Source organism: Homo sapiens, chromosome 7 (assembly GCF_000001405.40).
Source record: "Homo sapiens chromosome 7, GRCh38.p14 Primary Assembly".
Classification (NCBI taxonomy): Eukaryota; Metazoa; Chordata; class Mammalia; order Primates; family Hominidae; genus Homo; species Homo sapiens.
In genome coordinates, this window is record NC_000007.14 from 141,195,332 (window position 1) to 141,208,802 (window position 13,471).

The following is a 13,471-nucleotide window of genomic DNA, read 5'->3' on the forward strand; positions in this document are numbered from 1 at the left end:
GCTTAGAAATTTCTTCCACCAGATACCCTAAGTTATCTTTCTCAAGTTCAAAGTTCCACAAATCTCTCAGGCAGGGCCAAAATTCTGCCAGTCTCTTTGCTAAAACATAACAGGAGTCACCTTTACTCCAGTTCCCAAGAAGTTCCTTATCTCCATCTGAGACCACCTCAGCGTGGACCTTATTGTTCATATCACTATCGGCATTTTGGGCAAAGCCATTCAACAAGTCTCTAGAAAGTTCTAAACTTTCCCACATTTTCCTGTCTTCTTCTGAGCCCTCCAAACTGTTCCAGCCTCTGCCTATTACCCAGTTCCAAAGTTGCTTCCACATTTTCAGGTATCTTTTCAGCAACACCCCACTCTACTGGTACCAATTTACTGTATTAGTTCATTTTCACACTGCTGATAAAGACATACCCAAGACTGGGAAGAAAAAGAGATTTCATTGAACTTACAGTTCCACATGGCTGGGGAGGCCTCAGAATCATAGCAGGAGGCGAAAGGCACTTCTTACGTGGCAGCAGCAAGAGAAAATGAGGAAGAAGCAAAAGCAGAAGCCCCCAGTAAACCCATGAAATCTCATGAGACTTACTCACTATCACAAGAATAGCACAGGAAAGACCGGATCCCATGATTCAATTACCTCCCCCTGGGTCCCTCCCACAACACATGGGAGTTCTGGGAGATACAATTCAAGTTGAGATTTGAGTGGGGACACAGCCAAAGCATATCAGTATGATACTGTACGTATCAATGTGCAGTTCTATTTGCTTTTAATATTATATTTTGAGATCTGTCACTATACACACACACACATGCACACACACACACAGTTCTATTTCATTTATTTTAATGACTCTATAATATTCTATCATGTGAATGTGACCACCTTTTACTTTTCCACTTTTTTCTGGTTTTTACTCTTTTTTTGGATATTTGGTTTTCACTCTTTTTTGCAAGCAATGCTGTATTGAATATCCTTGTATATATGTCCTCCTCAGCCACACATGTAGGAGTTTGTTGAGGGGCTGTAAATGTGGGCCATAGGACATATACATTTCTACTTGATTTTGTCAAGTGTTTGGAACAACTTGTATTCTAAATAACAGTGTCTGGAAGTTTCTATTTCCCCTGTCTTTACCAAGTCTTGATATAATCTGTTAGGTTTGCTGTTGTGATTGGGAAGTGGAATGTGGAGCAGCGTTTCTGAAAGTTAAAAAATAGTTAATTCCATCTTGGCTTGGACTCATCAGGTTAGAGCTAAGGGTTGGGGGTTAGGGGACACTTGTTTAACTAACCCATATAACCCTTGCAGGTCAAAGGTGAGTCCTAAATCGTGACTCCCCTGGGTGCGTCGAATATCAAACTATATTTGGTGCTGAGCAGCTGCAGCCATGTTTCTGCTTTCATGTCTTGGGGATCTCGTGCATGTGTGGAGGAGATGTGCTGGAGAAGCTCATTGGTGTAATTGGTCTTCAAGGGGCCTGGAAATCAGGGCACAGTAGGCTCAGTCCTTGAGCCAGGAGTAGGATAGTAGGACACAGCTAGGGTTACAGTGTAATGGGAGATGCTGCCTTGGGCTGTGAGTGGGGATGGGGTGAGATGCCAGCAACATGGCTGAGAAAGAAACTGAGGTCAGTAACTGAGGCCAGAAGAAGACAGGATGATAGGAAGCTGTCTCCTAGACGTTCATTTCTTTTGTTAAACCATGACAGATTTGTGCTTGCTGCATATCTTAAAGGACATTCGTGGTGTCTGACATATATAATCTGTGTCCCAAATGGTGCCATAGTATAACAATAGCTATAACAATTATGGATTGCTTATGACATACCAGGCACAAAGTGCTTTCCCTGTATGAACTTATTGAATTCTCACAATATCCCTAAGGGGGTAGATACTTGCACCACAGCATTTTAAGATAAAGACACTTGGGTATAGAGAGAGGGCTTCATTAATTTGGCCAAGATCCCATATCTAGGGATTCTTAAAGCCAGGATTAGAACCCATGGCAAATTGGTTCCAGCACCCATGTTCTTTATTCTGCATAGTGCTGCAGGACACAGGAGGAAAAGAGTGAATAAGTTGCTCTTCCTTTTTTCAGTTCTGTTTTTGAATTTCATTGCAACTAGGGAGTCAGGATAAGTTAACCCTTTAATTAACATCTGTAATCTAGCCAAGCCATTTAACTTAAACACGGAAATAATCAATTTTGTGAGTAGACAGAGGTATAAAGAGAAACATAATTCATCTATTTGGGGTTTCTACATTCTGTCTGTGATCTTTAGTTTCCATTCAAGTTTTTTGTTTTTTGTTTTTGAGATGGAGTCTCACTGTCTTGCCTAGGCTGGAGTGCAGTGGTGCGATCTTGGCTCACTGTAACCTCCACCTCCTGGGTTCAAGTGATTCTCCTGCCTCAGCCTCCCAAGTAGCTGGATTATAGGCATGCACCACCACACCTGGCTAATTTTTTGTGTTTTTAGTAGAGATGGGGTTTCACCATGATGGCCAAGCTGGTCTCGAACTCCTGACCTCAGGTGATCCACCAACCTCGGCCTCCCACAGTGCTGGGATTACAGGCATGAGCCACCGCACCCTGCCAGTTTCCATTCAAGTTTTAGCTAAGGCATATAACAGGTTGAAGAGGAAAATAGTCAATCATCTGAATTGTGTTTCTCAAGTACAACTCAGTTCCCCCCAGTTCTTCCCTAATCTCTTCTTTCCCTCTCTCTCTCTGAATTAACTGGTAAAAAGGAAAATCAGCATTATGTAACTCCTTTTTCAAAGGAAAAGTGGAAAACTCAGTGATATGCATTTTTTTTTCCCTAGCTGAAACTAAACATTCATTCAGCTGTTTGGAAGCATCTGTGTGGCTGTTTGAATCCTCTCATTTTTATTGAGCTCAGTCTGTAGGAAATGCCTGGCCTTGGCCTTCTGGAGGTGCATACCTGGGGGAGGCAGACTTGACTGGGGAGAAGCTGGCCAGCAGAGTGTCTGCCATCAGGTCCCAAAGCCACACCCAGAGGTGGCAGCGGCAGAGCCCAGGAAAGCCATCTCTGTCCTGGCATCTGCAATTCTGGTGACTCATGAACAATCATTTTACTTTTCTCTGAAGAAGCAGGAATGACGAATTTCCAAGTCTGTTTATCTTCTCTTTGTCCCTTTCCTTTAGGACAACTGCCTCATGCTGAATCCTTAATTTAAAGAAAATGGATGTTTCCCTCTGGCCTGAGAGCTGGGGATTCTTATCAAAAGTGACATTAAAAAAGTGCCAGACTGGCCTCCTTCCCCTTGCTGGCCCATCCTTCATCGCCCCTGCCTGCCTCCATCACTGTCTCCCATCTCCAGATCTGTCTCCACTTCCTGGGTCCCCAGAGAGAAAGCATGAGCTCATTGTTTTCCAGTGAAAAACCAGATCTGGTCTCCTTCTCGCCTCGTTTGTCTGTCAGAGCCTGGAGATGAATGATTCTTCCCCTGGCTGAAACTGTACCTGGAGGAGCTGCGCCGGGTGTCTGCACCGGGCGTGTGGGGCCGCAGGCAGGGTGGTGGCAGCTCGCGGCTCTGAACTTTCCCAAAGGTCATTAGGGATGTGATGGGAATAAGGGATAGATTATTTACTACACACCAGATGGTAATCTAAAGCCATACCTCACCTTCTCATTCTTTCCCAAGAAGTCTGTTTCAGGCTGGAAAATACATGAGCGAAGTGGGGAAAAAGCAGCCAAAAACACGCAGGCAGGATGGGCCATGAGGGGCACAGACGGAGACAGCTCATTCTTTATTTCCTCTTGTGAAGAAGCGGCTATGTAATGACATTTAAAAATGTCTTGTTCAAAACATGCAAAAAAACTCAGAAAAGGGGCAAAGGCATTCAGAATGCAGGAAAAAAGGAATTAGGATAAAAAGGTGGTAGCTCCCACTAAAGATGAGGTGACCTTTACAACAGAAGACTGTGAAATGTTATAGGTTGCTGCAAAAGTAATTGCGGTTTCTGCCATTAGTAGTAATGGCAACCTAGTAGGTACTTTAGTTAAGAAAAAGAGTCTCTTGATAAAGGAATGAAAAGAACCTGGTTAGCAAATGCAATGATAAGGCAGAGGAATGGAAGCCATCGGCATAATTTGGGGAAGATCTCCATCCGTTGTAGTGGGAGAGGTGCCTGGTGGTCCCCCAGTGGGGAGGCTGCTTCTCTCTCTTTATTCCTCGCTTATTTTCTTCCTTTCTCCTTTGCTTCCTTTTTCCTTCCTCTTCTCTCTCTCTCTCTTTTCTTCTTTGAGACAGGTCTTGCTCTATCACTTAGGCTGGAGTGCCATGGTGCCATCATAGGTCACTTTAACCATGAACTCCTGGGCTCAAGCCATCCTCTTGCCTCAGCCTCCAAGAAGCTGAAACTACAGGTGCAGGCCACCATGCCTGGCTAAATAAAAAAAATTTTTTTGGCAGGGCGCAGTGGCTCACGCCTGTAATCCCAGCACTTTGGGAGGCCGAGGCAGGTGGGTCACGAGGTCAGGAGATCGAGACCATCCTGGCTAACACGGTGAAACCCCATCTCTACTAAAAATACAAAAAATTAGCTGGGCGTAGTGGCGGGTGCCTATAGTCCCAGCTACTTGGGAGGCTGAGGCACAAGAATGGTGTGAACCCAGGAGGCGGAGCTTGCAGTGAGCTGAGATAGTGTCACTGCACCCCAGCCTGGGCAACAGAGTGAGACTCTGTCTCAAAAAAAAAATTTGTAGACAGGATCTCTCTATGTTGCCCAGGCTGGTCTTGAACCCCTGGGCTCAAGTGATTCTCCCGCCTCGGCTTGCCAAAGTCTTAGGATGGTGGGTGTGAGCCACTGTGCCTGGCCCATTTTTATTTCTTAGTTGGAATGCTGACCACCAGATGATGTGGAAGCATAGGTAGAGGTGGCTTTCTAGTGGGCCTGTCCTGGTTGCCGGGGGAGACAGGATGGCTTAAGGGAGCTGTGGAATGCAACGGTGATTTTTCTAGTGGGCTGTCCTGGTTGTAGGGGACATGGTTTTTCAGAGGTGGTTTTTCTAGTGGGGCTGAGAGGTGGTTTTTTTAGTGGGTCTGTCCTGGTTGCGGGGGGAGACAGGATGGCTTGAAGGAGCTGTGGAATGAAAAGTGCTGTGAGCCTGGAGGCAGGTGACCGGTGTCTAGATTTTCAATGAAAGAGAGCACTATCAGGGGATTCCGTGAATATGGACAAGCAGCCCAGTTAGAGGGAGCCCTGGAAAGCTGTCCAAAAGGCTTATTAAACAGATGGTGGGTGAGCACACAGTGAGAAAGTGGTGATGCCGGCAGAGTGAACAAGCCATGCCAAGCTGACCTCATTCCCTTTTTGGATACGGTTCTTAGACATACTGATAGGGGTGAACAGTGTGGGCAAGGTCTCTCATGACATCCAGGTGGCCAAAAGAGGAACGTACGGAGGCAGATCAGGGAGGGAGCTGAGTTCCTGGCAGCGGAATGATGGCACCCAAAGTGCTTTCTCCTAACTGCTTGATTTTGGGTCATGACAAGGCTTTGTGTGTGTGTTTGGGTAGAGTTCTGCCTCCAGCACCGCCCTGTGGAAAGATTTTAGCAATGGCTTGGCGAGGATGGGGATGGCCTGCTGATGCAGCATGTGGGACTAATTGCTAATTTGTAGAATGACAGAATCACGATCCAAAATTTTTTTCAGGGGCTGGAACAAATAGAAGATCCTACACTGAGGTAACAAACCAAAATATTAAAAAAAACTGAAAAATGAGAAAGGACAACTTCCCGTGCACATGAAGGGGCAGAGTTGGCTTAATAGCTTTGTTGGAGGAAACCACGTCGGCGCCATCCCCTCGGGTGACAGCACCGGCACACAGCAGCCCACAAAGCTAAGAGGAGGCCAGGCCACATGGCCAGAGCTGTGACACCAGACCTGGGAGCCGGTGGCCCTACTGGGTTTGCACAGGTCTGACTGGGCACAGGAGTGACTGTGCTCAGTGCTCCGTGTGACCCTGGGAAAGATTCTCAACCGCAGACTGAACCTGGAGGATGGCCAGTGTGACTGTGTGGTTGGGGGAGCCGGGAAGTGTTCAGCTGGAAGAAAAGGAGACTTGTGGGTGGGGAGGGGCATGATCATTGTCTTTAAATATTTATGGGCTGTTGTATGGGAAGGGGATTTTATTGAAGGCTCACCATGGAGCAGGTTTTACATGGGTTATCTCATTTATTCCTCATCTGTTTTCTGAGGTGTGTGCTATTATTACCATCAGTATTTTGCAGATGATGAAATAGAGGCTTTGAGAGGGTGAGCCCCAAAGACTCCTGCTGGTAAGTGGCTTGTCCTGGGAATGGGGACAGGAATGTAGCTGAGACTTAAGACGTCAGATGCGGGCTAGTGAGCACTCTGAGCTCTCCTTCACTTCTGTGCTCTGTGTTACTGAGGAGCTATCTTCTCTCCAGCTTGTTAAGGGAGCTATGGAAGCAAACATTTTGTCTTACTCTGATAAGAGCAGTAGAGTCTGTAGGTGCTGAAAATCCCTGCAAATGGAAAAGTTTTACTTTATATGTTTCCAATATAAAACCTTGGAAGATCTCCTGCTTTCTTTCAGAAGAGACTGGTATTTCCCAAGTTCTTTTGACATGTGTGGCAGGCGTACTTAAGAGTGTGTTAGGTGGATTTGAATGCCACCTCTGCCACCTAATAGCTATGCACTTTTGATAAGGATACGTCTCTAAGCTTCTCAGTCTTCATATATGAGTGGGGATAATAATGCACCTTTTAGCATTAAACAAATGAATAAAACAGTTCTGTGCACAGTACCTAATACACAGAAAGTATTCATTAAACAGAAGCTATTGTTAAAATGAATAACAGTACTCAAAGCATCATTTTGACCATCAGGACCACAAAGGTGAAAAACACAAGCTCCTCTATCTCAGAGCTTTTACCATAGATAGAAATACCTGATGAATATATAATAAATGTGTTGCAATAGAACCAGCAGAAGGTGTTTAGGGGCAAGGTAAGGGGGTCAGAAACATGATGGTCGGGTGGGCGGGTGGGTGACAGGTTTTGAAAATGAAATTCCATGTGTGTAATGAGGAGGGTCCCCTGAGCACCTCTCATAACAAACATTTATGTAACATAGAATGGAAAGAAATTAAATATTTAGAACTCAGTCTACGCAATGCATACAAAACAACATTAAAAGGCCACATTGATATGGCAGTACAAAAAAACAAAGCATACAAAATGGAATGCATTTGAAAGCATTGAAAATAAAAACGTAGATAACACTTTTCCTTAGTATGAAGAAAATAAAACCTTCTTTCTGGCTGGGCCTGCAGCAGCTATAAGCCTTGCAAATCCTTGGACTCAGAACATCTGGGAGGAGCAGAAGGCGCTAAAGAGAAGACGTGGGGGAGGTGGGGTGTGGAGATTTCTTGAAATAAGCTTTTGTGAAGAGTTGCCTTTTAAATAGGGAGAGCTCCTGTCAACATTGCCGGTCTTGGTGGAGGTTGCCAAGGGTGTGCCTTCTCCACCTCTCCCATTTCTGCCCCATTTGGGGACAGGGCTGTGGGGGGTGTGGGAACCACCAGCATGGTTTGCCCACTTGGAAGCCCCAGAATATTCCTGGTTTGCTTCCTGCACCTTTCATCACCGACCAAGTTTCCCTTTTAATCTCCAATCTTTAAGCCCCTAGACTCCTGTGTTCCTCCACCCAACTCTCGTGGTCTTCTAAAGAATCCAATGTGATAATGCGAATGCATCTGATAAATGGCCTTCTTAATGTGCTAAAGAAAAATCTCCCTGCTAAGATGTTATTTTCACTTTTTTCTTTTTTGAGAAAATGCTCTTTAAAGAGGAGACGAAGCCTGAGCCTTAAATCTCTAACTGGTTTTGTCTTTTTTTGTTGGTGGTTTTTTTCCATGTGCTCTTTCTACTTTTGATTTAATCTTCCATATATTAAGTGCAGGGGATTAGCCAGGCCTCGGGCTAGAAAGTCTAAGAACTGTCAGCCCATTGGGTGAGACAGCGTCAAGTCCTAAAGGCTGACACTGTGGTGGGCAGAGGCCAGCATGTGCCACTTGGAGACCCCACGTGGGCTGGACACTCCAGACATTGTCACCGTGGAAAGGTGAGCAACATATAGGACATGGACGATGTCCCTTCCTCCCTTTCTTTCTTTCCTCATCAGTGGATGTATTGAGTTCCTTCCATGTACAAGGCACTGTGGCTGCAAAAATAACCCTTGTTCCCAGCAAATCTTCCACCCAACAGTGAATCCTTGTAGCCGTGGTGTCTGAAACTGCTGCACTCACACTGGAAAGCACATACCTGGGTTAGTAAGGCCAGACTCTGCATCCCAGCTTTTCCCCTGGCTGGCACAGATGAAGGCCTGGAAGCCTCTTTTGTGAAACAGGGCTGGTCCTAGAATACCCCTTCCTGAGGTTGTCATGGGGACAGCATGAGATAATACGGGAGCCTCTGGCATGTGGTCGGCATTGAATAGATTTTTGTTTGTTTTAAAAAAAGGAACTCTGGGATGGAGGAAACACACGGACTCTCAGAAGTGGTCCAGTAGTGTGTCCTGGACTAATAGAGTCTATCCCTTTGCCTGTAGATGGGTGAATACCAAGAGAGGAAAGGGCCTTGGGAGAACCAAAAAGGAAGAGAAAGCCTGCCTCATCCAACAGTGCTGATAGGACCCTTCAAAGTAACCGCAAGACTAAATTGTACCAGTTCGTTTTTCAAGCATGTAAACCTGTCTGCTACACTCCTCTAAGTCATTGTTCTTAGTTTGGGTTCTTCCAAAAGTAGAGCTTGTGACAGGGACTCTGAGGGAAGCAGGTGGGCAGGAGCTGGAAGCGTGAGACTGGAAAGAGGGGAAGCCAGTCAAGAAGGTGAGGTTGAGCCAGTGACTACTGTGAGCGTCAGGTTCAATTCCAGGGGGACCCTCTGAGGGACTGTGAGAAAGCATCTCATAATTACTCTCCCAAAGGACGGGGCTGTTGCTCTCCATCTGCCACCCCTGTCACCCCCTTAGTTGAGAGCTGCTTTCCCATAGTTGCTCAGCGTGGGCTCAGTGGACTTGGGAAGGGAGTGGAGGTAGGGAGGGCTGCTGGGTGCTTGCTGTGGGCACTATCAGCTTTCCCAGGAGCGTCCACTGCAGCTTCAGCCGGAATCGGAGGTGAACGGAGGGGATGTGGCACAGGACACTGAGGGCAATTGCACTAGTTTTGTCCACAAAGATTCCAGACTCATTTTAAGACATTGTGTAAATACAGCTTGTGGGTGGGAATTCAACCCTGGTTTGGCTTTGCTGGTAGCTCTCAGATATGGCTTCGGAGAAGAGAGCAGCAGATACTTGGAGCCATTACTCAATTTACCTAGTAGATCATTTGATCAAATAGCAGGCCTTGATATCTATTTTTCACTCATCCAAATATAACTCAGGGCTTCCTATGTGCCCTTTGCTGTGCGAATGTAAACAAAAGAAATGGCTTCTGACTTTTTTTTAAGAGACAGGATCTTGCTCTGTCACCCAGGCTGGAGTGTGGTGGTGTGATCACAGCTCACTGAAGCCTCAAACTCCTGGCCTCAAGCAGTCCTCCCACCCCAGCCTTTTGAGTAGCTAAGACCACAGGTGTGCAACACCACACTCGGCTAATTTTTAAAAGTTTTTTTTTATAGAGACGGGGTCTCACTCTATTGCCCAGGTTCGTCTTGAACTCCTGGCCTCAAGCGATCCTTCCACTTTGGCCTCCCAAAGTCCTGGGATTACAGGCTGAGCCATGGCACTTCGACTGATTTCGATAAACTCTGTCTAGTGCTGGAAACTGCTCTTTGAATAAAAAAGGATTTGGGAATAAAGTAGTCTAGGAAAATCTGCTGTAACTGTCCCTTTTTGGGGCAGTCACAATGTATATTAAAAACTCTTAAAGTCCTGCAATAAGGAAGCTGTTTATACTTTGTTTAACCCAACCTCTCCTAAATACATTGGGCCATCACGTTCCAATCCTACCTCACCACTTGTAAAGTGATGGGTGGAGAGAGTTCCCACATTCCAATTCTTCCTCGGCCACCCTGTCAGCACCAGGTGCCCAGGTGCCGTTGTGAGTAGTTTAGGGCCTTGCCTTTGCCTTCGGTGCTTCATCCCTTCTCAGCATCTTTGCTCTCTAGGCATCCTCTGTAGCTGAGGGGCCCTCCCTCTGGAGGAAGGGGATCTGGGATCTCAGCCCTTCAGACTTATTTACAAGAGCTTTAACAATGGGTGTCAAGGAGAACAATATTTGATCCAAAGGAATGACTCTGTAATGGAGATATAAAGTACTACAGCATTTGTTTAGGGAAGATAATTTTAGATGGGCTGAACTTAGGTCCCAGCACTGCCTCTAAAACCACTCTGCCTAGAAGGGCCCTGCTTAATATATATTACCCTTGAGTGATAGACTTCTTTGACAAGCACTTAGGAAACCCTGGATTGCTGAGAGCTGATACATGTGGGAGAAAAACTGCCTGCTGGCATTGCTGTAGGTGTGACCAGACTTCAGAATTCAGTGTCACTGCACGCAGTTTCTGTGCCATCTCTGGCACCCTCCCTTCCTTGGTCTCTGTTTCCATACATCAGAGCTCTTGCTCCACCAGCCTCCTGGGGCTACTGTGTGGGAAAATTTATACTTGATAGACATAGATCTGTGTTTATAGCATGATGCAAACATTTCAGTAATATTATTTCTGAGTTCCTGTGTTCATGTCCCCTTAAAGTAGTCTTAGGACAGCAACTGATAAGAATAACTAATATTTATTGAGCACTTACTAAGTGCAGGGACCACACTTAGTACTTGATGTGAGTTGTCATGCTATGTTTGGGTCTTAGAAGACTTGAGATGGAGAAAAAGTAATGGAACAGTCTCTTCCCATTGATGCTTCCCCATGTCTCCCTTTGCCACCAGGGACCTCTAGGAAGGAAGAATGTGCTAGCATTGGACTAAGTGGAAGCTAGAGTGATGCATTTGGAAGTGGAAGAGCGAGGGGAGATGTGAGAGGAAGAGCCCTGGAGAAAGAGAGGAATGAGCTGGATGTTTTGTCTGCCTTTCCAACCTGGCCTCTGTCTTCTGCACCTGCTCTGAGCTCCTGGAGGTTGACCTACCCTCTGGCTTCTAGTTTGGGTTGTGCTACAGGGAGGAACTGACGGGAGATTGAAGGTTGGAGCAATGAGAGGTTGGGTGTTTCTTCCCTGCCACCTCACCACAGGTTGGCTGTGACTCTCTGCCAAAGGCCGCATCATCTCTGTCCATATGGCCGCCCTTGCCAGGTCCTGGTGACAGCTTGCTCCTCTGCCCCTCCAGGCCTTGGGGTCATACCAGCTACTTCTGTTGCCAGCCCCGGGTCCTTTACACCATCCTTCACTGGTCTCTTCATACTCTGTGTTTAGCTTTGTAAATTGCTCTCCCTGTTTTGCTGTTAATGTAGTAAGGACATTTAACATGAGATCTACCCTCTTAACAGATTTTCGAGTGTATAATAGTATTATTAACTATAGGCATAAGGTTATATAGCAGATCTCTTATTTATCTTGCACAACTGAAATTTGTATCTGTTGAATGGAATCTCCCCATTTCTCCCACTCTCCAGCCCCTGGCAACTACCATTCTCCTCTCTATTTCTATGAGTTTGACTAGTTTAGAGAATTCATATAAGTGGAATCATGCAGTATTTGCCCTTCTGTGACTGGCTTATTCACTTAGCATAATGTCTAGGTTAATCTATGGTTGTTGCATGCAGCAAGCTTCCCTTCTTTTTAAAGACCGATTATATGGCATTGTAGGGATGCAATATTGCATATCGCATGGATACAGCTTTCCCTTATCCTTCATCTGCTGATGGACATTTAGGTTGCTTGTATGTTTTGGCTATTGTGAATAATGCTGCAATGAACATGGGAGTGCAGATATCTCTTTGAGATAGTGATTTCAATTGTTTTGGATATATGCCCAGGAGTAAGATTGCTGGATCATTCGTAATTTTTTGAGGAACCACCATACTGAGCCCCACAGTGGCTGCACTGATTTACATTCCCACCAATAGCATGCAAGAGTTTCGCTTTCTCCGCCTCCTCGCCAATATGATTTACTTATTTATTTATTTTGATAATAGCCATCCTAACAGGTATGAGGTGATATCCCCTTGTAGTTTCAATTCGCATTTCCCTGATGATTAGTGATGTTGGGCATCTTTTCCTGTTGGTCATTTGAATGTCATTGCCTTTGGAGAAATGTCTGTTCAAATCCTTTCCCCATTTTTTAATCAGGTTGTTCTTTTGCTGTTGGGTTAAATTGTCCTTTTTTGAAACTCTCCTTAATTACCTGTGTCTTGCTATGACCCTGACATATGGGCAGGAGGGGTCACTAGCTCAGAAGGCAGAGCATGACTGAGGGTTTAAAGTGTCCCACCAGTCCAGGGATGGTGGTTCACGCCTGTACTCCTAGCACTTTGGGAGGAAGAGGTGGAAGGATCACTTGAGCACAGGAATCTGAGACCAGCCTGAGCAACATAGTGAGACCCCATCTCTACAAAACATAAGAAAAGGCCAGGTGCGGTGGCTTGTGCCTATAATCCCAGCAATTTAGGAGACTGAGGTGGGCAGATCGCTTGAGCCTAAGAGTTTGAGACCAGCCTGGGCAATATAGTGAGACCCCCATCTCTACTAAAAATAAAAAAAAATTAACTGGACATGGTGGCATGTGCCTGTAGTCACAGCTATTGCAGAGGCTGAGGTGGGAGAATCACTTGAGCCCAGGAGTTCCAGGCTGTAGTAAGCGATGATTACGCCACTGCATGCCAGCCTGGGTGACATAGTGAGACCCAGTCTCTTTTAAATAAATAAATAAATAAATAAATAAGTCTCCCACAGGGGCCACAGGAAGGAGCCACCCCTGGGATCTCAACCAGCCAGTCCTCCCCCACCTGAGGCTTCTAGAGGGAGAGCAGAGACTCTGGGCTGGGATGCAGGAGTTTGGTGAAGAAGGGTTTGTCCTTCCTTCCAGGTAGCCCCTCTGCATTGTGTGCTGCAGGAAAACCTGTTTGTATTAGGCAGCCCACATTCTGGGCCTACTTATTTGGTGCCCAGATGGTTCCTGTATTTACAAAAGCCCAGCACACTGACAGGACCTGCAGACACATGGATAAATATTTTGCTTTTCTTTTTAGGCAATATTTGAATCTTTCAAATTTGATTGCTGTCAGAGGCAGGATGCTTGCAATCCCCCAGGCAAAGCAAATAGCGAGGGCCTGAAGCGGGGCTGTGGTGGCTGCTCCAGGCAGGCTCCCTAGCCAGTCACCTGCAGTGCCTGTGGGTTGGCTTCTTGCTCTTGCTGAATGTCAAGGGCCTCTTCCCTCTCTGGCTGGCTGGGCTGCGGTTGGAGGAGGTTAAAGGAGCTGGCTCCAGCCTGCCTGGAACCAGTGGCAACTTGTTGAGTTTCT

General features: G+C 46.0%; 1 protein-coding gene across 4 annotated transcripts in view, besides 1 other annotated feature; it reads left to right on the forward strand.

The window, feature by feature from the left end:
• TMEM178B (transmembrane protein 178B) overlaps window positions 1-13,471 on the forward strand; it is a 437,233-nt gene that overhangs the window by 121,268 nt on the left and 302,494 nt on the right. The gene's annotated exons all lie outside the window — the stretch shown is intronic.
• Window positions 5,356-5,881: an enhancer, noted in NCBI's record as "H3K4me1 hESC enhancer chr7:140900487-140901012 (GRCh37/hg19 assembly coordinates)". NCBI's record gives its function as "activates a minimal SCP1, AML or CMV promoter by ChIP-STARR-seq in primed H9 embryonic stem cells {active_cell/tissue: H9 hESC(primed)}" and the evidence as "EXISTENCE:reporter gene assay evidence [ECO:0000049][PMID:30033119]".